This window comes from Homo sapiens, chromosome 17, assembly GCF_000001405.40.
Source record: "Homo sapiens chromosome 17, GRCh38.p14 Primary Assembly".
In the NCBI taxonomy this organism is placed as follows: Eukaryota; Metazoa; Chordata; class Mammalia; order Primates; family Hominidae; genus Homo; species Homo sapiens.
Window position 1 is genome coordinate 63,585,574 of NC_000017.11, and position 24,624 is coordinate 63,610,197.

The 24,624-nt window shown below is 46.7% G+C and overlaps 2 protein-coding genes across 3 annotated transcripts in view; both read left to right on the plus strand.

Moving 5' to 3' along the window:
• The window catches only part of DCAF7 (DDB1 and CUL4 associated factor 7), a 43,790-nt gene extending 35,097 nt beyond the window's left edge, over positions 1–8,693 (plus strand). The window contains exons 7-8 of one of the 2 annotated variants that reach the window (NR_073585.2): positions 3,427–3,664; positions 8,630–8,693. Coding sequence is in view for 1 of the 2 variants with exons in the window: in NM_005828.5 (NP_005819.3) it covers positions 3,427–3,599 (173 nt within the window). In the remaining variant the exon portion in view is untranslated. Of the gene's footprint in view, positions 1–3,426 lie in introns of both variants that reach the window. The other variant, NM_005828.5, reaches the window with a different exon arrangement.
• Positions 15,322–22,792, plus strand: TACO1 (translational activator of cytochrome c oxidase I). Its single transcript, NM_016360.4, has 5 exons — positions 15,322–15,790; positions 18,961–19,067; positions 20,740–20,867; positions 21,714–21,891; positions 22,229–22,792. The coding sequence occupies exons 1-5, from the start codon at positions 15,511–15,513 to the stop codon at positions 22,427–22,429; spliced, it is 894 nt and encodes a 297-aa protein (NP_057444.2). The 5' UTR covers positions 15,322–15,510; the 3' UTR covers positions 22,430–22,792.

Here is a 24,624-nt window from a genome sequence, read left to right on the forward strand (position 1 = left end):
GCCTTGTACTGTGCCCCTGAAATCTGGATGGCACAGAGGACTCAATTCCAGGAATATGGGGAAAGGGAGGCATCCCTCATGGATATAACAGAATCTTTGGGACTGTGAAGATCAACATCTCCATGGGACCTTTCAGGTTTCACTATAACAAACCCACAGTGTGCTCTGGATGCATCGGAGGGCCCCACAGAACTTTGCCTGGTTGTGGTTTGTGACTTGTGGTTTTCATTTCACTGTTTCCCAGACCAAAGCTAGCACCCCTTACGGGCTGGGTGCAGTGGTTCACGCCTGTAATCCCAGCACTTTGGGAGGCTGAGGCGGGTGGATCACCTGAGGTCAGGAGTTCGTGACCAGCCTGACAAACATGGTGAAACCCTGTCTCTACTAAAAATACAAAAAAAATTAGCCAGGCATGGTGGCACGCACCTGTAGTCCAAGCTACTTAGGAGGCTGAGGCAGGAGAAGCACTTCAACCCAGGAGGTGGAGGTTGCATTGACCAGAGATTATGCCACTGCCCTCCAGCCAGGGCAACAGAGCAAGACTCTGTCTCCAAAAAAAAAAAAAAAAAAAAAAAAGTACCCCTTAAAAATATGTTGGGCCAGGCACAGTGTTTCAGGCCTGTAATTGCAGCACTTTGGGAGGCTAAAGTGGGAGGATTGCTTGAGGCCAAGAGTTCAAGACCAGCCTGGGCAGTATAGTGAGACCTCATCTCTACAGAAAGTTAAAAAAAGACTATCTGGGTGTGGTGGTGAATTCCTGTAGTCCCAGCTACTTAGAGGCTGAGGTGAGAGGATCCCTTGAGCCCAGGAGTTTGAGGTTACAGTGAGCTGTGATTGTGCCACTGTACTCCAGCCTGGGCAACCAAGCAAGACCCTGCCTCTAAAATAAATTTTAAAAAAAGAAAAGAAAGGCTGGGTGCAGTGGCTCACATCTGTAATACCAGCACTTTGGGAGGCCGAGGCAGGTGGATCACGAGGTCAGGAGATCAAGACCATCCTGGCCAACATGGTGAAACCCTGTCTCTACTAAATACAAAAATTAGCTGGGCGTGGTGGCACATGCCTGTAGTCCCAGCTACTCGGGAGGCTGAGGCAGGAGAATCGCTTGAACCTGGGAGGTGGAGGTTGCAGTGAGCTGAGATCGTGCCACTACCCTCCAGCCTGGTGACAGAGTGAGACCCCGTCTCAAAAAAAAAAAAAGAAAAATATGCTGGTTGTCAATGCACTTTTATTGTAGAAATAATGCCAATCTGTTATTTAAATTGAAAACAGTACAGAAGCATATTTAAGAGCAAGGCGAAAGTCATCTTTTCTCCTTCCTATATCATTTCTGCCTCCATCCCCCTCTGCATAGATGACCTCTATCAACAGGTAATGTGTCTCCTTCCAGACCCTTTTGGTATACTTTCAGGGATGTACATCTATGCCCCCAAATACAACTATATACTTCTTCCTTTTGCACTGATAGGATTCTGTCCTAGTCCTGTGATGTTTTGCTCCTTAACTTTTTTAGTGTGTTTTTTTTCTTCTCCTCACTAATCAGGAGCCTTATAATGGACAAGGTTTGTTATGGAGCCCAAGAAGCAATGTACTCTGGTGTTTTTCTGCCATTTGAGCATTATTTGGAAGGCATGAAGCTTTTCCTGATTTTGGCCCTCTGCTCATGCCTGTATGTCTCCTTGAAGAGCAGCTGGGGGCCTGCTGCTGCCTTCTGTACCTCAGATTGTGGTCTGTCTTCTTCATTATTGCCCTCTTTTTTTTTTTTTCCCAGGGGTGTGGATAGGGAGGGATAGAAGAAGCAGAAAAGAAAGGTGTCATCCATTATTCATGGAAAGCAGGACTGGCCCCGTAGAAGCCCCATTTTCTGCTCCTGGCTGCTGCCTTTGTCTGGCTCGCTGTTGTTTTGTGTGTTGCACCTGCCTTGAGCCCCTTCAACCGAAGGAGCTGTTGCTCAAGTGTGCTCGGTTGAGCATTGAGGAAAAGGGCCTTAGTGCTCTAGAGGTGCAATTCCCTGACCTCTTGGCATTGATTGTCCCTGGGAGAGGGATCTTGCACCTGGCCCAGACTATGCGGCCTTGGCAGGAGACTAGTATTGCCCACAATTAGTCTATTAGGGTTTAGTTTATTCAGATTTTCTTTGTATCTGAGACCAGCTTTCATCAGAATGCATGGCAGAGTCAGGGTACACTGCAGCTCTGAAGGCCATTGCCTTATTTTTTTCTTTTTTAAAAATTAACTTACTATTTTGATTATAAAAGTAATATAGGCCAGGTGCGGTGGTTCATGCCTGTAATCCCAGCATTTTGGGAGGCCGAGGCAGGAGAATCGCTTGAACCTGGGAGGCTTTGGTTGCAGTGAGCCGAGATTGCACCATTGCACTCAAGCCTGGGCAACAGAATGAGACTCCATTTAAAAAAAAAAAAAAAAAAAAGTAATATGAGCACATTACGAATCACTTAGGAACTAGAGAAAAGTAAACATAAATCCTAACCTTGCCATCTTAGTATTGCCATCATTCTCATTTTAATATATTTCCTTCTACTTATTTTTCATGTGCTTTTATATATTTAAAGTGATTACCATCTTTCTGGTGTTTCCCATAGCTATTTTCTTGGATTTTTTTTTTTTTTTTGAGATGAAGTCTCACTCTGTCACCCATGCTGGAGTGCGGTGGTATGATCTCGGCTCACTGCAACCTCTGCCTCCCGAGTTAAAGCGATTCTCCTGCCTCAGCCACCGAAGTAGCTGGGATTACAGGTGTGTGCCACCACACCTGGCTAATTTGTATTTTTTTTTTTTTTTTAGTAGAGATGGGGTTTCACCATGTTGTCCAGGCTGGTCTTGAACTCCTGACCTCAGGTGATCCGCCTGCCTCAGCCTTCCAAAGTGTTGGGATTACAGGTGTGAGCCACCATGCCTGGCCAGGAAAGAATTTTTTAACAGCACATATCAGCACTACTTTATCAGTCTTCTATATAACACCTCACTGAAGCATAAATGTCCATCAAACAGGGAAGAAACGCTCTCATTATATTGAATGATCAGAGAATGATCTTTGTAACCACTCAAGTATTTTAAGTGGCTGCAAATGACATGTTTGGTATCCCCTTGTCCACTCCTGATACCTGACCCAGATGAGAAGGACTCATTAGTGCAGTGGATAGAGCCTGGGGACATCTGGGAGATGGAGTCAGGGCCTAGATTTGAGTTCTGGCTCTGCCACTCACTTGGCTGAATAGCTGTGTGATTTGGAACAAGTGCCTTAACATTTCTGAATCTCGATTTCCTCATCGATAAAATGGGGGCTTAAAATAGAACCGCCATCACGGGGGTGCTTTGTAAACTGTGACTTGCTCCTGAAATGCAGGGATCATCATCCGCATTGCCTCACTTGTGACCTTGCTTGCTGGCTTTCTTTGTCCCTAGCGGATGACCACCAGGCTCTCATCTGGGACATCCAGCAAATGCCCCGAGCCATTGAGGACCCTATCCTGGCCTACACAGCTGAAGGAGAGATCAACAATGTGCAGTGGGCATCAACTCAGCCCGACTGGATCGCCATCTGCTACAACAACTGCCTGGAGATACTCAGAGTGTAGTGTTGGTGGCGCTGTGCCCACGAGGCAGGGGCTTTTGTATTTCCTGCCTCTGCCCCACCCCCAAAGTAAGAAGAAACATGTTTCCAGTGGCCAGTATGTCTTTCATTGCTTTGCACCCACTGTTACCAGAAGCTGCTCTAGGAGTTCCTGGCCAGTCACCCCATCGCCCTCTGTGGCAGACTCAGTGCTGTGTGGCGCCTCCTCAGCCCAGGGCTGAGTTTTAAGATTTTCTCTCCTTTCCTCTTCTCCTTTGGTTCCTCAATTAAAAAATGTGTGTATATTTGTTTGTCAGGCGTTGTGTTGAGGAGCAGTTCACGCACTGGCTGTGTCTATTCCTCTGCCCAGGTGTCTCTGTTTGCTGCCCAAGGCAGCAGTTCATGTCTCGTCCATGTCCATGTTCGTGTTAGCACTTACGTGGGAACAAATACCAATTTGTCTTTTCTCCTAGTATCAGTGTGTTTAACAAATTTTAACTTTGTATATTTGTTATCTATCAGGCTAATTTTTTTATGAAAAGAATTTTACTCTCCTGCTTCATTTCTTTGTCTTATAGTCCTCCCTCTTTGCACCTTCTTCTCTTCCCTCAGTGCCTGGAGCTGGTACTGGGCCCCTGGCCCCATGAGCAGTTTGCCTTCTTGAGTCACTGCCTGTGTAGTACATACCTGACCGGGAGTCCAAACCACCTTGGTGCTCTGAAGTCCACTGACTCATCACACCTTTCTTAGCCTGGCTCCTCTCAAGGGCATTCTGGGCTTGTAAACAGACATAGGAAGCCTCTGTTTACCCTGAAGCACCACTGTCCAGCCCATTGGTTCCCACTGGCAGCATGGTAGAGCTGAGAGAAACAGGCTCTCAGGGTACCTGACTTGAGGGGAATCGTTTCATGAAGCTGAACTTCAAGCATATTTCCAGTACATTCTTTCAGAGTCTGTTTTTCCATCCAAATATAAGCCCCAGGCCATTCCACTTAGTGTCTTTTCAATGATAGGCAAGAATGATATCTGAGTTGAACTTCGGTGCTTCTGTTGTTTGAGTTTACTGTGCCTGGTGGTATATTGGGCATTCTTTGGATTGAGTGTTCTGAGGTGAGAGAGTCTTCCCGAGGCATCCTGTCTGTGCTTCCAACCCTGAACAAGACCTTACATGAGAGATGGACTGATGGACTGCGGCAATCCTGGGCTGTCAAGTGGATAGATAGTTAAAAAGCATTATACTGTGGGTAATGAAAAGGGAGGAAAAAAAAAGAAGGAAAAGGAATTATAGACCCCCAGGGTCAGCCAGTTAAGAGCTCTACCCACACCTGTCAACCCCTCTCTCCCCCAGTTTAGGTTCTGAGCAGTATTGGACTTGTAGCCTGCAGTTGTCTTTTGACTTGCAGGCCGCAGGTGTCTTTCTGTTATGTGAATGAGTTCCATGGAGGGGCATATGTGTGATTCCACCGTTAGATGAGCCCTTGGGGCAGGCAGTTTGGGATGTGCTCTTGGGGGAAAGTTGGCTGTTTCCTTGCGCTCTGCTCCTACCCGAAGGTTTTTAAGTCCCTCTGAATTGCTCATCTGAGATTAGTAGAGTAGCAGGCCTGAAGGATGATGGTTTTGTCCTCTTTGGTTCTCACCTGCTTGAGAAGTAAAACAGTAACTTTGTTCTTCTGGGCCCTTAAGCTTTTTTGGTTAAGTCTTCCTTTTCAGAAGTAGATGTCATTATATGCCAAAAGTCTAGCTCTTTGCTTTACCATACAGGGACCTGTCCCAAAGAAAAAGGCTCTTTTTTTAGCCAGCATATTTCCCCTTCTACCCTTTTACTTTGTTGTTCTGATTTTAGGACTCTGGCTGGCCATGTGCTTGTGGTTGCCTCTCCTGCATTTGCCACTGGATTTGCACTGCATCGTTTGGAGATACAAAGCGAGCAGTTCTTGGTCAGAACCCTCCTCTGCTTTTCATTGTGTTTGATAATGGTTACTGGGTCCTTCTCTCAAGGGTAGCAAGGCCAAGCTGATGGCTGCTTGTTTAGGAGGCCATCAGTTCCTTCCTGTGGAGAAGGGTCTGAAATGGAAGTCAGTGGTAGAAGGGGCTGGTCTGCTGGGCAGGGCTTACATCCACTGAGTTCTAAGATTCCTTTCCTGATCTGCACCTACGCCTGGTCTGTATGGTGGAATTTGTCAGCTGGAACTCAGAAACAACAACTTGAAAAAAAAATAATAATTAGAACATATTTGCATAAGATAGCTATTTACTCTGGAAACCAACAACTTTTGAGATTTCCCTTGCCCTGTGGACGCCCAGCTCCTGTCATCCTTCCTTAGGTCCTGCAGTACAGTCTTCCCCTGAATGCCACCGGGGACCCAGGGGGACTCCACCCCCCTAAGCAAGCACACACATACTCACAGTTGATGAGTTGCTGGTCTTTGAGTCCCAGCTCTCTTACCCTCCCTTTACTCCACCAGCCCGACGACCCATGACTGAGGAGGGGATTTCTACAGTCTCAGGATTTAGAAAGTCTGTAAGCCATCCATGCTCCAGAAAGCACCGATCTGTTGTAGTTGCAAAAACAACTCTGTAATTTGTTGAGGTTCTCAAACTGACAGCCAGCGAGACTGGGTGGGAGGCCCTGGATCTGTTCTCCCTGACTGCGGGAGGAGCAGCCACTAGGACTTTAGCAGGAAGCCCACATGGAGGCTCCGCCAGGCTGTGGCCCAGCTGGTGATGGCCCTTTTGCTCCTGGCAGCCTGAGGCACAGCTGCCTGTATTGTCCTCATCTGTTCTGACTGAAGGATGGAGGTGCTGAATAAATTAGGCCTCAGGCCTCTACCACCAGAGAGCTGGAGAATGGGTCCACGTCATTCAAGGACCTGAATTTTTTATGCTCAGGAGCATTGGAATCCTCTTCTTCCAGGGAGGAATTAGCCTGCAAGGTTAGGACTTGAAGAGGGAAGGTATTTAATAACTGGGCGAGGATGGGTGTGGTGGCTCACACCTGTAATCCCAGCATTTTGGGAGGCTGAGGTGGCCAGATCCCAAGGTCAGAAGATCGAGACCATCCTGGCTAACATGGTGAAACCCCATCTCTACTAAAAATACAAAAAAAAATTAGCCGGGGGTGGTGGCGGGTACCTGTAGTCCTAGCTACTTGGGAGGCTGAGGCAGGAGAATGGCGTGAACCTGGGAGGTGGAGCTTGCAGTGAGCCAAGATCGTGCCACTGCACTCCAGCCTGGGCGACAGAGCAAGACTCCGTCTCAAAAAATAAAAAAAAAAAAAAAATAGGTGAAAATTCCTTATAAATCCAGGATTGGCTCTGAGAGAACTGGCTAAGATTCAGGAAGAAACAAAAAATTCAGAATCCTACAAGGTTTTGATGACAATTAGGGCCAAAATTTTAGGAGGAGATGTAGGATGCAGGAGAAAATTAAAGTGTTTTCTTTATATCAGAGGAGGAAATAGTAGAGGTCAGTGAAGGTCTGGGGTAGGGAAACATTCAGACTGTCCATTGCATGGCTGTGGAGTGAGACTGCCCTTAGCCTGGGTCAGCCTTCCTGGGCCATAAATTGGGCATCCGTGATGCTAGGTAACTGTGGGAACAAAATGACAGCTTAGAGCAGCCATGGGTGATGTTTGGTGGTAAAAAACCTACAGGCGTTTGGGGTCCCATGATTGTTCCAGACCATGACTCTTCCTGGTTGTGGGTTTGTTACAGAGCAGGAGAAGCAGAGGTTATGACAGTTATGCAGACTTTCCCCCTCCTTTTTCTCTTTTCTCTTCCCCTTGCTTTTCCACTGTTTCTTCCTGCTGCCACCTGGGCCTTGAATTCCTGGGCTGTGAAGACATGTAGCAGCTGCAGGGTTTACCACACGTGGGAGGGCAGCCCAGTACTGTCCCTCTGCCTTCCCCACTTTGAGAATATGGCAGCCCCTTTCATTCCTGGCTTGGGGTAGGGGAGACCATTGAAGTAGAAGCCTCAAAGCAGACTTTTCCCTTTACTGTGTGTACTCCAGGACGAAGAAGGAAGATCATGCTTGATACTTAGATTGGTTTTCCCAGGGAAGAGGGCGGAGCAGAGCAAAGTCACTGTGAACCCTGGGCCAGGCCCTGGCTGGGCCAGCTCCTGAGAGCGTCTCGTGTTGCAGACCCTTGCCCACTTCACCCACCTGCACCTTCTCCCCCTCTCACAGTGTCACTGCTGCTAATGGTCAAAGTCAAATGTGTGGCCACATGGGATGGGCCAGGTCCTCTCAGGCTACTTTCTGGATGTCATTTTTAAAATATGGAAACATGCAGGTGCCTTCCCAAAGAGGCTTGGACTGGTATATCCAACGAGAAACAAATAAGCTAAAGAAAGTTTAAACTCAAGAAGAAAGATGTTGACAGTCTATGTAACAGCTGGAAAGTTTATAGGCACCCACCTTTGGGACAACCCAGTGATTATGAACATGTGATATCTACTATTTAAAAGAAATGTTCTCACCTTGGGTTGATTGTGGTATACCATGTGTTATGAAAATTGTTGAGCTGAAGCTTTGAATCGATTTAGTTGAGTCTGACTCACTTGCTTTGGTTCCTGTGTATTTTACTACCCCTCTTGTCAGTGACCTTCCTTCCCCACCCCACCCAGAGTGAATTTGTAGCATGATTGTATAAACCTCTATGTAGAAAATGGAGATTTCTTGCTCTGAAATGTTAAGCTCTAACTGATCCATTTCTGTGTCCTTTAGCCTAGTATGTCTGAACTTCCATTCTTGTTATATATTTAAACTTTCCCTCTATATTATAGGTTTTGTGGCATCCACGGTCAGGTGTAGAGGAAGCTGCCCCTTGCAGAACTGTACTGTAATATTTTTCTTTTATAAATATTTTCACAGGACTGATTGTACACAGGGCTTGTAATAAAATTTTAACACTGTGCTGTGAAACAACTATGGGGAATCTCCATTGAAGGCTACTTCATGGGCACCTGAAAGTGGAGTGTTATAGCTATGACTTTCTATTTCTTGTTTCCTAAGTAAATTAAACCTAATTTTCACCCTTTCATTCTGTTTCAGCCTCCTGTATAAGAAGTACCGTATTTTCTGCCCATCATACTTTGTAATAAAACTTGAACATGTATAGATTGACTGAATTTCTTTTTGTGACGAATTCAGTTCTTCCCATTTTGTCACTTTGGTCATGTTCCATAGACAGTGGCAGTGCCCCAGCCCGAGCCGGGCAGTCTACTCATCACCTTTTATATCCTATTTAGTCATTCACTTGTTAATTCAGTGGAGCACCTCCTCTATGCCAGGGGACATGGCCCTCAAGTTGGTTGCAGTCTACCAGAGGAGACATCTACATAAATACTTGTGGCCGGGCACAGTGGTCTGTGATCCCAGCTGAGGCATGGGGGTGGCTGAGGTGGGAGGATCACTTGAGGCCAGGAGTTCAAGACCAGCCTTGGCAACATAGCAAGACCCTGTCTCAATCAATCAGTCATTTTTATTAAAAAAAAAAAAAATTTCTTTTAGCCAGACTAAGATCTAAGACAAATCTTTTTTTTTGCATTTCTTTTTTCTTTTTTTGAGACGGGGTCTCGCTCTGTCACCCAGGCTGGAGTGCAATGGCGCGATCTCGGCTCACTGCAACCTCCACCTCCCGGTTCAAGCTATTCTCCTGCCTCAGCCTCCTGAGTAGCTGAGATTACAGGCATGTGCCACAACACCCGACTGATTTTTGTATTGTTAGTAAAGACGGGGTTTCACCGTGTTGGTCAGGTTGGTCTCGAACTCCTGACCTTGTGATACGCCTGCCTCAGCTTCCCAAAGTGTTGGGATTACAGGTGTGAGCCACCGCACCTGGCATTTATTTTATTTTAATAGTTTTGGGGGAACAAGTGGTTTTTGGTTATGTGGATAATAAGTTTTTTTAATGATGATTTCTGAGATTTTGGTGCACCCATCACCGGAGCAGTGTACACTGTACCCAATTGGTAGTCTTTTATCCCTACCCCCTCCCACCCAAATTTTTAAAAGACAAAAAACAAAAAAACCAAATAACTTGCATTGTTGTGCGATAATGGATGTGTTTAGGCATCACCCCTCAGGAGGAGGTGATCACCTCTGCCTGTGTGGGAGCCACATGGGGTCAGCGAAAACTACTTAAGATGGATGCCTAAGCTGGGTTTTGAAGGCTGAGTAGGAGTTATCTGGAAATAGGGAATGTCCTTTAAGGCAGAGAGAACACCCATGTGCAAATCTATGGAGGCAAGAAAGTATGGTCATATTTAGAGAATTGCAGGTTGAGGTGGGGTGAATAGTGGGAAATGTAGCTAGAGATGTATACAGGAGCCAGGGCAGGGAAAGTCTCCCGCTTTGCAGAAATTTTAGACATTACACTTCTGTATGATCCTGGAAAACATACACAGAGAGGAGTCATCAGAATTGCATTTTAGAAGGATAGGCAATGAAAAAGTGCCTCTTCCTTCTTATAGGGTGAGAGAAAAACCCTGAACTAAGGCGGCGGCGGCAGCAGCAGCCACGGCAAGGATGGAGAGGACAGGGCACAAGTAAAGAGGGATGCAGTCATCAGCATTTAGTAATTTATTGATTGTGAAGGAGGACAGAGAAATAACTCCCAGATCTTTTGGATTTGGACAGGTTCTGATGGCTGACTAGGAATGTCCAAGTCCCTGCTAATTTCCCAAACCTATGCCCCACACGGTAGGGTGGGGGAGTTCCTATCCCACTGCTCTTCAAATGCTGTGTGTCCTGGATGAAATACTACCCCCATTTATTTATATTTTTATTCTTCATGTTGGGCCACTGTGAAGGAAGAGAAGAAAGGCAAACTGATTGGTTCCGTGAACCTGTATTCGGTAAGTACCTGCCATTGTGTCAGCTGATATGGAGCCGGTGGCAGTGGATCTGTGAAGGGAAGTATGTGCTCTTGAGAATTTAATTTTTTTTTTTTTTCAGACAGAATTTCGCTCTTGTTGCCCAGGCTGGAGTGCAATGGCGCGATCTCGGCTCATCGCAACCTCCGTCTCCCGGGTTCAAGCGATTCTCTTGTCTCAGCCTCCTGAGTAGCTGGGACTACAGGCATGTGCCACCACGCCTGGCTAATTTTATATTTTTAGTAGAGATGGGGTTTCATCATGTTGGTCAGGCTGGTCTCAAACTCCCGACCTCAGATGATCCACCCACCTCGGCCTCCCAAAGTGCTGGGATTACAGGCGTGAGCCACCGTGCCTGGCAGAGAATTTAAGTTTTATGAGTACCTGCTGGTCCTTTGGAACTGTGCTGCTATATGGTCTGACAATGTATATTTTGTGAGAAACACATGAGTCCTGCTCTCTGGTTTTTAAGGAGAAAACAGAGAGTAATACTATTTATAGGCTAGCCTATGCTGCGGCAACAAACCCCCAAATCTCAGAAACTGAGCACTACAAAAGCTTATTTTTTGCTTACACAAAGTCCTCTGGGCCGGGTGCAGTGGCTCAACTCTCTAATCCCAGCACTTTGGAAGGCTGAGGGGGGAGGGAGGGGCAGATAGCTTGAGGTCAGGAGTTCGAGACCAGCCTGGCCAACATGGTGAAACCCTATCTCTACTAAAAATACAAAAATTAGCTAGGCATGGTGGCACACGCCTGTTGTCCCAGCTACTTGGGAAGCTGAGGCAGGAGAATAGCTTGAACCCGGGAGGTGGAGGTTGCAGTGAGCCAAGATCGCACCACTGCACTTCAGCCTGGGCAACAGAGCAAGACTCCATCTCAAAAAATAAAAATAAACGTGTGACCTCCAGGTTGCTTATGGGGGGTGGGAGGGAGTACATTTTTCAGGATGGGCCGGGAAGTGGCTTACTCACTTTTGCTCCTATCTGCCAACTGCAAGGAAGGTCAAGTCAAGAAATGTAGTCTTCCTGTGTACCCTGGAAAAGGAAGTGAAGTAGTGAATAATTATGTCTCAGCCATACTAGCAAATCGGCTAAGTATCTGGACTAATAACTAATGTAATCTCATTCATTGAGAGCTGTTAGTACTGGACAACACATGGTCAAACCTAATGGAATGATATTTGTAGCCAGTCTTTAGCTTCCAAGGCTCATTGTTACTTAAGTGATTTCAGTGAGCCTGACAGCCAGGCGTCTAGAGATGGTTCAGTCAACTATGAATTTATCTTGAAAGGTGGCTATTAACTCAGACTGAGAGTTAAAATCTGCCCTGCCATTCATCACAGATGCACAGACAGATAAAACCAGCTGCACAGTTAACAGGATATAGTACCTCTATCAAGAACACACTGCAATTTTTTTTTCTTTTTTTGGCAACATAAAGTGTCAAAACTCCCTGAGTGACTACTGTTTTAAAAAAATTCACTGAGAAATTTCGTTCTCCAAAATCATAGGCTGACAAAGTTTGCTGTTTGCAATTGTATTTGTGAGAATTAAGGCTTATAGTCAGTCTTGCTTGGAGGAGCTGAGTCACTCTGACAGAGAAGCAGCCTTGATTTCCAGGCCAGGTATTGTGCTTCAGAGCAGGGGCTTCTGAACACAACAGTCCACATTTACCTTGACTTTGTACTTTCCAGGGAAACTGATCCCCTGGGTCCACTTGGTAGTCCAGCTGATCTTAATCCGCCTTTCACACAGGTCTGTGTTTCTTTGAGCCTAACTCTAATTTTTCACCTAACTTCCACCCTTCCCCATAATTCTATGACCAGTTTTTTCTTCGGTAAGACACTTCACCATTCCTCTGGTGTGCAGTCTCCCTTGTTGCAGTGAGTTGATAAGCCTAACTCTGTGAGACTATAGGTTTCCCTTGCTGGTCTCAGGCTGACTGGACTAGGGCAGTCTCAAACCTTGTTTTAGCCTCTACACTTATTTGTGATTACAAATTCCATTAATTTGATTTTTGCTTCTCAAAGTAAATATTACATATATATTTTTTTCTTTTTTTTTGAGATGGAGTCTCGCTCTGTCACCAAGGCTCAAGTGCAGTGGCGCGATCTCGGCTCACTGCAACCTCCGCCTCCTGGGTTCAAGCGATTCTCCTGCCTCAGCCTCCTGAGTAGCTGGGACTACAGGCGCGTGCCACCACACCTAGCTAATTTTTTGTATTATTAGTAGAGACGGGGTTTCACCGTGTTAGCCAAGATGGTCTCGATCTCCTGACCTCATTATCTGCCCCAAATCGGCCTTCCAAAGTGCTGGGATTACAGGTGTGAGCCACCATGCCTGGCCTGAATAAACTATTTTTAAATTGCAAAAAGTAATACTATATATGAATGGCTGATAAGCACATGAAAAGATGCTTACCATTAGTAGTCATTCAGGAAATACAATCAAAACCACAATGAGATAATACTTCTCACCCACAAGGATGGTGATAACTATAGTCAAAAAGAATAACAAATTTAGCCAGTGGCTCACACCTGTAATCTCATCTACTTGGGAGACTGAGATGGGAAGATCACTTGAGCCCAGGAGTTCTATGCTGCAGTCAGCTATGATTGCTCCACTGGACTCTAGCCTGGGTAACAAAGCAAAAAAAAAAAAAAAAAATTCATGATATGGAGAAATTAAACCCTCATATATTGCTGGTGGGAATGTAAAATGATACAACCACTTTAGAAGACAGTCTGGCAATCCCACAAAAGGTTAAACATAGTTATGATATGACCCAGCAATTCCACTCCTAGGTATATAACTAAAAGAAGTGAAAACATAGGTCCACACAGCAATGTGTACATGAATGTTCACAGCCTCATTATTCATCATAGAAGGTGGAAACAACCACATGTCCATTGCCTGATGAACAGATAAATAAAACGTGGTATATTCATACAATGGAATATTATTTGGCAATAGAAATGAAATACTGATACATGCTACAACATGCAAGAATCCTGAAAACATCATGCTAAGTGAAAGAAGCCAGTTACCAAAGGCCACATAGTGTGTGGGCCCATTCATATTAAATGTCCAGAAGAGGCAAACCCACAGAGACAGAAGTAAATTGGTGATTGCCTAGGGCTGTGGGAATTGGGGGGAAATAGGGAATGATTGCTAATGGGTACAGGACTTCTTTTGGGGATGATGAAAATGTAAAATCAATTGTGCACAGCTCTGAATATTCTATAACACATTGTACACTTTGAATTGGTGATCTGTGTGATCTGTGAAATATGTCAAAACTTAATTTTTTAAAAAATGAGAACTGTGTTGGGCATAGGAAGTACAGTCCTACTCTCAGAGAATTTAGTATTACGGTAGAAACAGATATAAACATTTTGATATTTTTTTAAAAGGTAAGTGCTAAGGTGCAAGCATGTATGAAGGGCTATGGGCACCCACCGCACCTGGCTAATTTTTGTATTTTTAGTAGAGACGGGGTTTCACCATGTTGACCAGGCTGGTCTTGAACTCCTGACCTCAAGTGATCTGCCAGCCTCGGCCTCCCAAAGTGCTAGGATTACAGGCGTGAGCCACCGCACCCAGCCCCATGGAGGTTCTTATATAATAAAAAATAAAAAATCTATGCTTTTGTGCTTTGCATCCATTATCCCATTTAGTCCTCACAAGGCCATTCTATGGTAAGGAAACTGAAACAGGAAAGTAAAGGAACTTGCCCAAGGATACACTAGAAAATGGAACAACCAGGGTTTGAAGCCACCCAGTCTAACTGCAGAGGGCACAAACTTGGACTTCACACTGTCCTGCTTCTCTCTCTCTCTCTCTCTCTTTTTTTTTTTTTTTTTTGAGTTGGATTCTCGCTCTGTCGCACAGGCTGGAGTGCAGTGGCGCGATCTCGGCTCACTGCAACCTCCTCTTCCCGGGTTCAAGCGATTCTCCTGCCTCATCCTTCTGAGTAGCTGGCATTACAGGCGCGCGCCACCACGGCCGGCTAATTTTTTTGTATTTTTAGTAGAGACGGGGTTTCACCATGTTGGTCAGACTGGTCTGGCACTCCTGACCTAGCGATCCGTCTGCCTCAGCCTCCCAAAGTGCTGGGATTACAGGCGTGAGCCACCGCGCCCGGCTGTCCTGCTTCTCTACCTGATATGTCATGCCCTTTGGACTTAATCTCACCAGCATGGGAGTCACTACAAAGCTTTTCAGCAGCTGCCGCTTTGTTTCTCTCCATCTTCTAACGGATTCGGTTTTCTCTTTCGAGACAGCAGAGAGAAAATGAAGAGGGGAGTTTAGCTCCAAAGGGCTTGTCTGATCATTCTCCCTCTCCCAAAGGCCTGTGACTCATCTGAGTCTGTCCCAAACCATCTCTTGCATCTAGGGGCTTAAGTGCACTGTGGCTATTTACATAAAACTTTATTACTTTAAAGCTCTAAGGGCTCATTTTGTGTTTCTAACTTTCCTATGTTGATAAAGCAAATATTAGATCCTTATTTATAAATAGGGAAGACGTTCAGAGAGATTAAACATTTGGGCAATTCACTTCTCTGGCAGCAGTTTCTTTCCCAGTACAATGAGGCAACAACAAAATATCATTCTGGACTTGCTCAGATTTAGGCAGCAATTTGGAAGCAAAGTCAGTTTCATAACTCAGATGTGTCTCCACTAAAACATTATGAGAAACAAAGTCCGGCGCTCTCTAGGCAACCGTGAGGGCTTGAGCACTAACTAGATCTGCTCAAGGGCAAGAGAGGAGCGAGTACCGTGCAGCCACGGAACGGACTTTGCGGGCAGTGGGGACGTGTTTTTGGAGCGAACCCGGTAAAGGAAGTGTGCTACGCCATCAAGGGCCCCCAGTCCCGGGTGCCGCGGGGACAGTGTAGGGTCATTAGCTGTTGAGCCGCCCCGGGCGGGCCCAAGCCTTTGGATCTCAGGTGACCGGCACAGGCGGCCGCGGGGTCCGGAACTGCTTGTTCCGGCAGTGGAAGAGACGCGCCGGCGTTGGCCGCTGCTGCTAGCAGCTTGAACCCCAGGGTCGGGACCGATGTCGGCTTGGGCTGCTGCCAGCCTAAGCAGGGCCGCTGCCCGATGCTTGCTGGCACGAGGCCCCGGGGTCAGGGCGGCTCCTCCGCGCGACCCCCGGCCCTCCCACCCCGAGCCCCGGGGCTGCGGTGCCGCTCCGGGCAGGACGCTGCACTTTACCGCGGCTGTCCCCGCCGGGCACAACAAGTGGTCCAAAGTCAGGCACATCAAGGGTCCGAAGGACGTCGAAAGGAGTCGCATCTTCTCCAAACTCTGTTTGAACATCCGCCTGGCAGTGAAAGGTGAGACCCTGACGGTCACCCAGCACTGGCTGCCGCTGCCCTCTCAGTGCCCGCAGCCTCGCTTGCCTCTCGGAATTGGGCCCACCTAGATCTCCGGCCCTTCACTTTGTTTTCCTTCCCCAGTACCCACCATTGCCCACCTCATAAATCCTCAAAACACCTACCCTACGTTGGAGGTTCTCACTCACTTTTCCAGACGCTGAGCATCTGGCCAGTTTGTCAGAGAGGGAGCTGCTCTTAAGAAGATAAGCCGGTAAGGTAGAAGTGACTTCATCCTAATCTAGCTGGGTACTTAATAGAAACAAGCCCTAAGAGTCAGGGCAGATGTGTGTCTCTCCTGAAGAGACAAATCAACCCCTCTGAAGTCGCCTCAAGTACCTTATTGGTTGTGGCAGGGGCACTGAGTAAAGCTATTACTTAAGTGCTTAGGCCTTAGCTTAGGCCTTAGTTTGCTTCATTAATGTTTCCCCAAGACACATTTCCTTGGAAGGTAGATTTGCAGCCATGTCTTTTCTCCCTTAGGTCGCCACACTGAAAAGGCTTTTTTTCTGTTTAGGGCCAGACATCTGTAGGAGCAAAGGAAAAGTCCTGTAGAAAGCATGGACTTTGGACTGGGCGCAGTGGCACAGCCTGTAATCCCAGGCCAGAGGCAGGCAGATCACTTGAGGTCAGGAGTTCAGGACTAGCCTGGCCAACATGGGGAAACCCTGTGTCTACTAAAAATAACAAAAAAAAAAAAAAAAAAAAACAGCTGGGCATGGTGGTGCATGCCTGTAATGCTGGCTACTCGGGAGGCTGAAGCAGGAGAATTGCTTGAACCCAGGAGTTGAAGGCTGCAGTAAGCGAGATTGCTCTACTGTACTCCATCCAGCCTGGGTGACAGAGCAAGACTCCATCTCAAAAAAAAAAAAAAAAAAAGAGAGAGAAACTGTGGACTTTGGAGTCAGGAAGACTGGTTTCTGTCACTGACTAACCTTGAACAAGTAGCTTAACTTGAGTTTCTCTGAAACAAGGATAATACCCACCTTGAGGTAGTTTATGGTTTATGGCACATCATAGGCATTCAGTTAATGTTAATTTACCCCCTCAGCTCATGCCTGGTATTTGTTTGCTTCCTTTTCTTCAAAATTCTTGATATTAAGTTCAAGCAACTTTTATTTATTTATTTATTTATTTATTTTGAGACAGAGTCTCACTCTGTCACCCAGGGTAGAGTGCAGTGGCGTGATCTTGGCCCATTGCAACCTCCACCTCCCAGGCTCAAGTGATTCTCCTGCTTTAGCCTCCGGAGTAGCTGGGACTACAAGTGTGCACCACCATGCCTGGCTAAATTTTTTTGTATTTTTAATAGAGACAGGGTTTCACCATGTTGGCCAGGCTGGTCTCGAACTCCTGACCTCAAATGATCTACCCACCTCCACCTCCCAAAGTGCTGGGATTGCAGGTATCAGCCACTGCATCCCAATGAAGTTCAACCAACTTGTGTTTATTTTGTGCCAGGCATGCCATTGGTACTAGAAAGATGATGAGATACAGCCCCTACCCTCAGATCACAATGTCATGTGAACATTTCAATAATTATGCACAAAGTGCTGGGCACGGTGGCTCACACCTGTAATCTCAACACTTTGGGAGGCTGAGGCCGGCGGATCACGAGGTCAGATCGAGACCATCCTGGCTAACACGGTGAAACCCCGTCTCTACTAAAAATACAAAAAAATTAGCCAGGCGTGGTGGTGGCGGGCGCCTATAGTCCCAGCTACTCAGGAGGCTGAGGCAGGAGAATGGCGTGAACCCAGAAGGCGGCGCTTGCAGTGAGCCGAGATTACACCACTGCACTCCAGCCTGGGCAACAGAGGAAAACTCTGTCTCAAAAAATAATAATAAAAATAAAATAAAATAAAAATAATTATTATGCACAAAGTAGTAGAGTAAGAGCAGTAATGAGTCCAGGAAGTGTTGTTACCATCTATAACCCTTCTTCATCTGACACAAAGTAGAGATCGCTGAAACCTAGCAGAATGAAAACCATCCCTAAAGACAATGAATTAGAAAGTTCTGGCCAGGCACGGTGCCTCATGCCTGTAACCCCAGCACTTTGGAAGGCCAAGGTGAGTGGATCACTTGAGGTCAGGAGTTCGAGACCAACCTGGCCAACGTGGTGAAACCTCATCTCTACTAAAAATACAAAAATTAGCTGGGCATGGTGGCAGACACCTGTAATCCCAGCTACTTAGGAGGCTGAGGCAGGAGAATCCCTTGAACCCGGGAGTGGGAGGTTGCATTGAGCCAAGATGAGCCAAGATCATGCCACTGCACTCCAGCATGGATGACAGAGTGAGACTCTGTCTCAAAAAAAAGGTCTTTTCTGGCCAGACATGGTGGCCCACACCTGTAATCCCGGCACTTTGGGAGGCCGAGTCAGGCAGATCACTTGAGCTCAGGAGTTTGAGACCAGCCTGGGCGACATGGTGAAAACCTGAATCTACAAAAAATACGAAAAAAATTACCTGGGTGTGGTGGTGCACACCAGTGGTCCCAGCTACTTGGGAGGCTGAGGCAGGAGGATCGCTTGAACCCTGGAGGTTGAGGCTACAGTGAGCTAAAATCATGCCACTGCACTCCAGCCTGGGTGACAAAGTGAGACTTTGTCTCAAAAAAAAAAAAAGTACTTTTCCAAAATACTTATCCAGGCCAGGGGCAGTGGCTCACACTTGTAATCCCAGCACTTTCGGAGGCCAAGGTGTGTGGATCACCTGAGGTCAGGAGTTCGAGACCAGCCTGGCCAACATGGCGAAACCTGGTCTCTACTAAAAATACAAAAATTAGCCGGGTGTGGTGGTGTGCACCTGTAATCCCAGCTACTCAGGAGGCTGAGGCAGGAGAATCACTTGAACCCAGGAGGTGGATGTTGCAGTGAGCCAAGATCGTGCCACTGCACTCCAGCCAGCAACAGAGTGAGACTCCATCTCAAAAAACAAACCAAAAAAACCCGAAAATACTTCTCCGTATCCCACTGAAACACTAGTTAAGGTATTCTAAGGTAACTGAGAGCTAAATGGTGATTTGCCACTCCTTTGGCTTGGTGGGGCTGGAAATCCCTTTTATTCTCCCATGTTGTAATGAGATGTCTTTGCTCACTCTTTTTTTTCTTTTTCTTTAAATCTCAGAAGGAGGCCCCAACCCTGAGCACAACAGCAACCTGGCCAATATCTTAGAGGTGTGTCGCAGCAAACATATGCCCAAGTCAACGATTGAGACAGCACTGAAAATGGAGGTGTGTACTGTTTGACATGCTTTTTATTGATCACAGCCTCTACCGGGCTCATGTCTGGATGGCCAACAAACACACTGTAAATTATCAGAGGGGCCAAGTGCAGTGGCTCACGACTATAATCCCAGCACTTTGGGAGGCTAAGGTGGGTGGATCACTTGAGGCCAGGAGTTTGGAGACCAGCCTGGCCAGCATGGTGAAACTCCATCTCTACTAAAAATACAAAAATTAGCTGGGCGTGGTGGCATATGCTTGTAATCCCAGCTACTGGGGAGGCTGAGGTGGAGGATCGCTTGAACCCAGGAGGTAGAGATTGCGGTGAGCCGAGATTGCACCACTGCACTCCAGCCTGGGCGACAGAGCGAGACTCTGTCTCAAAAAAAAAAAAAAAAATTATCAGAGAGAACGGTAGCAATGTAGTTGACGCCCTCAGCCTAGAGTCTTCTGAGAGCTCACCGTCCTTGGTCATTGGTTCTAGGAGCACAACTGGGAGTAGGATGCATAGGCAGTATGCAGGGCCATACAGTCAAGACCGGGACTGCTCAGCCAAGTTGTAGGGAGATGAGGTATTATAGAAAGAAGGGGCAGTGTGGGAGAAAGCCCTTACGTTAGGTGGAGGAAGTGTTTGTTTTTCAGATGTTTATGCCCTAAAGGAGAAAAGCCAGTAGAAAGGGAGAGGATGGGGGTGATAGAGATGGTGGGAGGGGCAGGTATATAGAGTCCACGTAAGGGTACACCTTTCTCTGGGGCAGGTAGGGAGGCTCTGAGGAAGTAATAGTTATCTTAATAGCTCAAAATTATTGAGTGCTTCCTGCAGGCTAAGCATGGATAAAAACTCTATGTGTGTTATCTCATCGAATCCTCAAAACCACCGTAAGTAGAAACTGAGGCACAGGAATGTTAGGTGAGTTGACTCAAGTCGCATAGAAAATGACAGACTTGAAACCAGATAGTCAGACTTTAGAGCCTGTGCTCTAACCGTTATGCTTATTGCCTTCATGTAGGCCATGGTGCAGAGAAGGTGGTGGAGACAGCAACTATTTTCCCCACCTAGTGGCCCTTTTTACCTTTGTGAAAGAGGAAGGGAGAAGTTATGAGTTGAGAATTCCTGGAAAGTTGCAGGACAGGGTGCTTGGAGTGGGGAATATTGAATACATGGACAAGGGATGAGTAGGGGCATGGAAGGTCCAGAAGAGATTAGTCCCTAGAGCTCTGGATTAATTGTTTCAATTTTGAGACCATGCTGTTTTCAGCAGCTCTTACGACAAGGCCTAGGTGTGTGATATTTCACAGCAGTACTCAGCAGCCCAGGGTAGGGACCTTGAGACTTGACCGGTGGGTTTCTTACAGGATGGGGGTGTAGGAGGATGAGTCTGAGTGGGATTGGGTAGGGACTAGATGTGGCATTTGGTTAGGGATGGTAGGAAGCAAAGCTGAGAGATGGCTGATGGATTGTTCAGGGACCGGAGAAACAGACTCCTTCCAAGTTAGGGGTAGTACTTCCTGTTACCTCAAAAGTTGGTTAGAGGGTGGGGACAAAAATAAAGATTGAGAGCTCAGGCTCCAGCCTAGAGAGCCCATCCCATGGAGTTAGTTTTGCGATACTTGTAGTTCTGGGCTGACATGTGGGAAGGAATTGGGAAACAGGAAAATGTGCTTGTGTTGTTTATTGCAGAAATCCAAGGACACTTATTTGCTGTATGAGGGTCGAGGCCCTGGTGGCTCTTCTCTGCTCATCGAGGCATTATCTAACAGTAGCCACAAGTGCCAAGCAGACATTAGACATATCCTGAATAAGAATGGGTAAGTGTGCGTCTGGGAGGAGTGGTAGGGGACAGAGCCTTTATGTTCCAATTCTCTGCAAGGCAAGTACTGTTGATCTCTGCTAGTGTTTCAGGGTTTTGTTTTTTGTTTTTTTGTTTTTTGAGACGGAGTCTCACTCTTGTCGCCCAGGCTGGAGTGCAATGGCATGATCTTGGCTCACTGCAACCTCTGCTTTCTGGGTTCAAGTGATTCTCCTGCCTCAGCCTCCTGAGTAGCTGGGATTAAAGATACCCACAGCCATGCCCAGCTAATTTTTGTATTTTTAGTAGAGGTGACAGGGTTTCATCATGTTGGCCAGACTGGTCTCGAACTCCTGATCTCAGGTGATCCACCTGCCTCAGCCTCCCAAAGTGCTGGGAGCCACCATGCCTGGCCATGTTTCAGGTTTTAAGCACACTTGCTCCTTAGCAGAATCTAATGAGTTAATTGACTTTCCCTTAATGTAGTTTCTACTAGCAGGATCCCAAAGACTTGTTCATCGGATGTAGAAGGGGATCTTTGTCCTATTATCCCCATCTGTAGCCATATAATGCCTAAGTCTTAAAATGCTCCACCAGGACTGGCATCTTAATGGCACAGGAAATTATCAGCTAAGTCTGCTTCCTCCCAACTGCAATCAGGGCAGAAAATCGAGCGTGGGGACATTCTTGGGCTGTTCCCTTACCCAGCAGCAGCTGCATTTTCTCCTTGAGGATGCGATCTGCTCCATGTCTGTGTGTACTTCATAGACTGGGTAAGAAAGAGACAGTGATAGAATGATGAGCTTTATGGAGGCTGAGCTTCTAGAGGCATCCACTCATGCCAGCCTGTTTCCTTCCCTGTCAGAGGAGTGATGGCTGTAGGAGCTCGTCACTCTTTTGACAAAAAGGGGGTGATTGTGGTTGAAGTGGAGGACAGAGAGAAGAAGGCTGTGAACCTAGAGCGTGCCCTGGAGATGGCAATCGAAGCAGGAGCTGAGGATGTCAAGGAAACTGAAGATGAAGAAGAAAGGAACGTTTTTAAAGTAAGCATGAAAACATGGGTGTTTGGTGGGCTTCCGGGAGGACCCTGATAGATGCCTTATGCATGCCTCTTGGTTTCTTCCTTCATGTGCCCCAGGGTATAGGTGAGACAGTTCACATATTGTACAAACATTTATTAAGTGAATACTGAATAGGACCGACTCTAGTGAGGACTATGAGAAAGAAAGAGTCAAAACATTGAAAACGATGTCCCTGCCAGTGAAGAGCTCAAACCCAGTGATCCATTCCAGTACTGACATTCAGGACTTTGCAAGGTCCTGTGTGGCTTTGTCTCATTACCTCCTGGCTCCTCACCTCCTGACTTTCCTTTATCCCTAGTTTATTTGTGATGCCTCTTCACTGCACCAAGTGAGGAAGAAGCTGGACTCCCTGGGCCTGTGTTCTGTGTCCTGTGCACTAGAGTTCATCCCCAACTCAAAGGTGCAGCTGGCTGAGCCCGACCTGGAACAGGCCGCACATCTCATTCAGGCTCTCAGCAACCACGAGGATGTGATTCACGTCTATGATAACATTGAATAACCAGGCTACATGTGCCCCCGGGTTCCTTCCTAGAAATGTGGCAGCCCATTCCAGCACACAGGCTTCTGCAGCAATCTCTGAGGGTAAAGCCGGTGGGAGGCTCAGCAGGCCAGGAGGCCCAAGGACAGGACTTGCGACCTTGAAGCCAAAGGAATCTCACTTGTGGGGCCTCCTTGTCAGCTCTGCTGCTGTCTCAGAGCCATCTGGATGAGTGTCCCGACACCCTCTCGGATGCAGGGCAGGACCACCCAGCTGGTCAGACTCTGATGTTGGGTAGCTGGCCTCTGTGGGGATTGTAAGTGCCCTGAGGCGCTCTGTACTAGAAACTGCTCTTAATAATAACGGTGATTATTGGTTGCTGCATTGCTGTTGTATGGCTCTTGAGTCTTCCTGAGTTTGTGTCCAGCTGTTGGGATCCTCTGGACTAACTTTCAAGTCCCTAGGCTTAGCTCTACTACTCCAATCCCAGGATTATTTTTTTAATTGGCCATAGAAATGTAGTTGTATCCAGGCACTCCATGGTCTGATGCTGGTCTTACAGCCTAAACCTGTCATTCATTCATGCAACTAATATTTCTGGAACACTAGCTATATACCAAGAACTGTACTTATCTAGAGCATAAGCTATTCAACTGGTGTCCTGTGTTAGATCCTGCTCTAGAAGGTAGGACCTGAACACAGGACTGCTCTTTACTGGAGCTGTCCCAGGGCAGTGTGAGCTGCTGTGCAAGCATCTGTTGCTCTCTTTGTGTGACTTCTGTGCCCTTCTTTCACCAAACAGCTTAAGGTTCTAGCCCAGTAGGAAATCAAGTGCCAGTGATAAGGGACTTGGCAGTGGCTCACACCTATAATCCCATCTACTCGAGAGGCTGAGGCGGGAGGATCACTTGAGCCCAGGAGTCTAAGGCTACAGTGAGCTATGATTGCACCATTGCATTCCAGCTTGGGTGACAGAGTGAGAACTCTTCTTTTTTTTTTTTTTTTTTTTTTTTTTGAGGCAGAGTCTCACTCTGTTGCCCAGGCTGGAGAGCAGTGGCACAATCTCAGCTCATTGCAGCCTTGACCTCCTGGACTCAAGCAGTCCTTCCACCTCAGCCTCCCAAGTAGCTAGAACTACAGGTGCATGCCACCACGCCCAGCTAATTTATATATATTTTTGTAGAGATGGGGTTTCACTATGTTGTCCAGGTTGGTGTCGAGCTCCTGAGCTCAAGTGGTCTGCACACTCGGCCTCCCAAAGTGCTGGGATTACAGGCATGAGCCACCACGCCCGGCTGAGTCTGTCTCTTTTTTTTTTGAGACAGAGTCTTGCTCTGTGGCCCAGGCTGGAGTGCAGTAGCATGATCTTGGCTCACTGCAACCTCCACCTCCCAGGTTCAAGTGATTCTCCTCCTTCAGCCTCCCAAGTAGCTGGGATTACAAGCAGGCACCACCATGCCCGGCTAATTTTTTTGTGGAGGGGGAGGGGAGAAAATTAAACTTTATTTATTTTTAAAAGCAAACCACCGGGAAAATATAACACAGCCTGGAAGCAGCAAATGGACAGGCTATATTATCATTTCAAGTAGTAAGTTGATGAAAATACAATGAGGTTGCTATCAAAACAATAACGTGCCATGCCGGGGCAGGAACACTGCAAGTTGCGAAAGCCCCAGGCAAAAATGGTTTTTGGTACTGGGGTCTGCCTCTCCTTTGCTATAAGGGAGTCAGCTCATCCTAGCCCAAGTTGCTTACTTTTTCTTCCTTGGATTTCCTGTTGCCAGGGTTTGTCTCAATTGTGCTTTGTTAATTCAGGGGGCTAAGTAGGCAGTGCTAGGTTTAGGCTTTCATTCCATCCGTTCTATAAAAACCAGGTTTTTCCAAATCCAGTACTTCATAACTCTGTTATAATCAAGTAGCCAACTGCTCTTCTTTTACTGTTCATTTCTAGATACTAGTATATATCACAATCAAAACCCCCTTCTCTTCACCGGGAAAGTGTTACTGCAAGATTGTCCTGTCATTTTGCTACACACAGCCTCGGCCCATCAGCCAGTAATTATGCTTCCCATAATTAGTATGTCATCACCTCTCATGTTTTTGCATGGTCTCCAGGCTGAAAGATGCAGCATGTAATAATTTTAAGAAATCTACATCTACATCTTGATGACCAGAAATGGGGATCCTCAAGGAAACTTTCAAAGTTCTTATCCAAA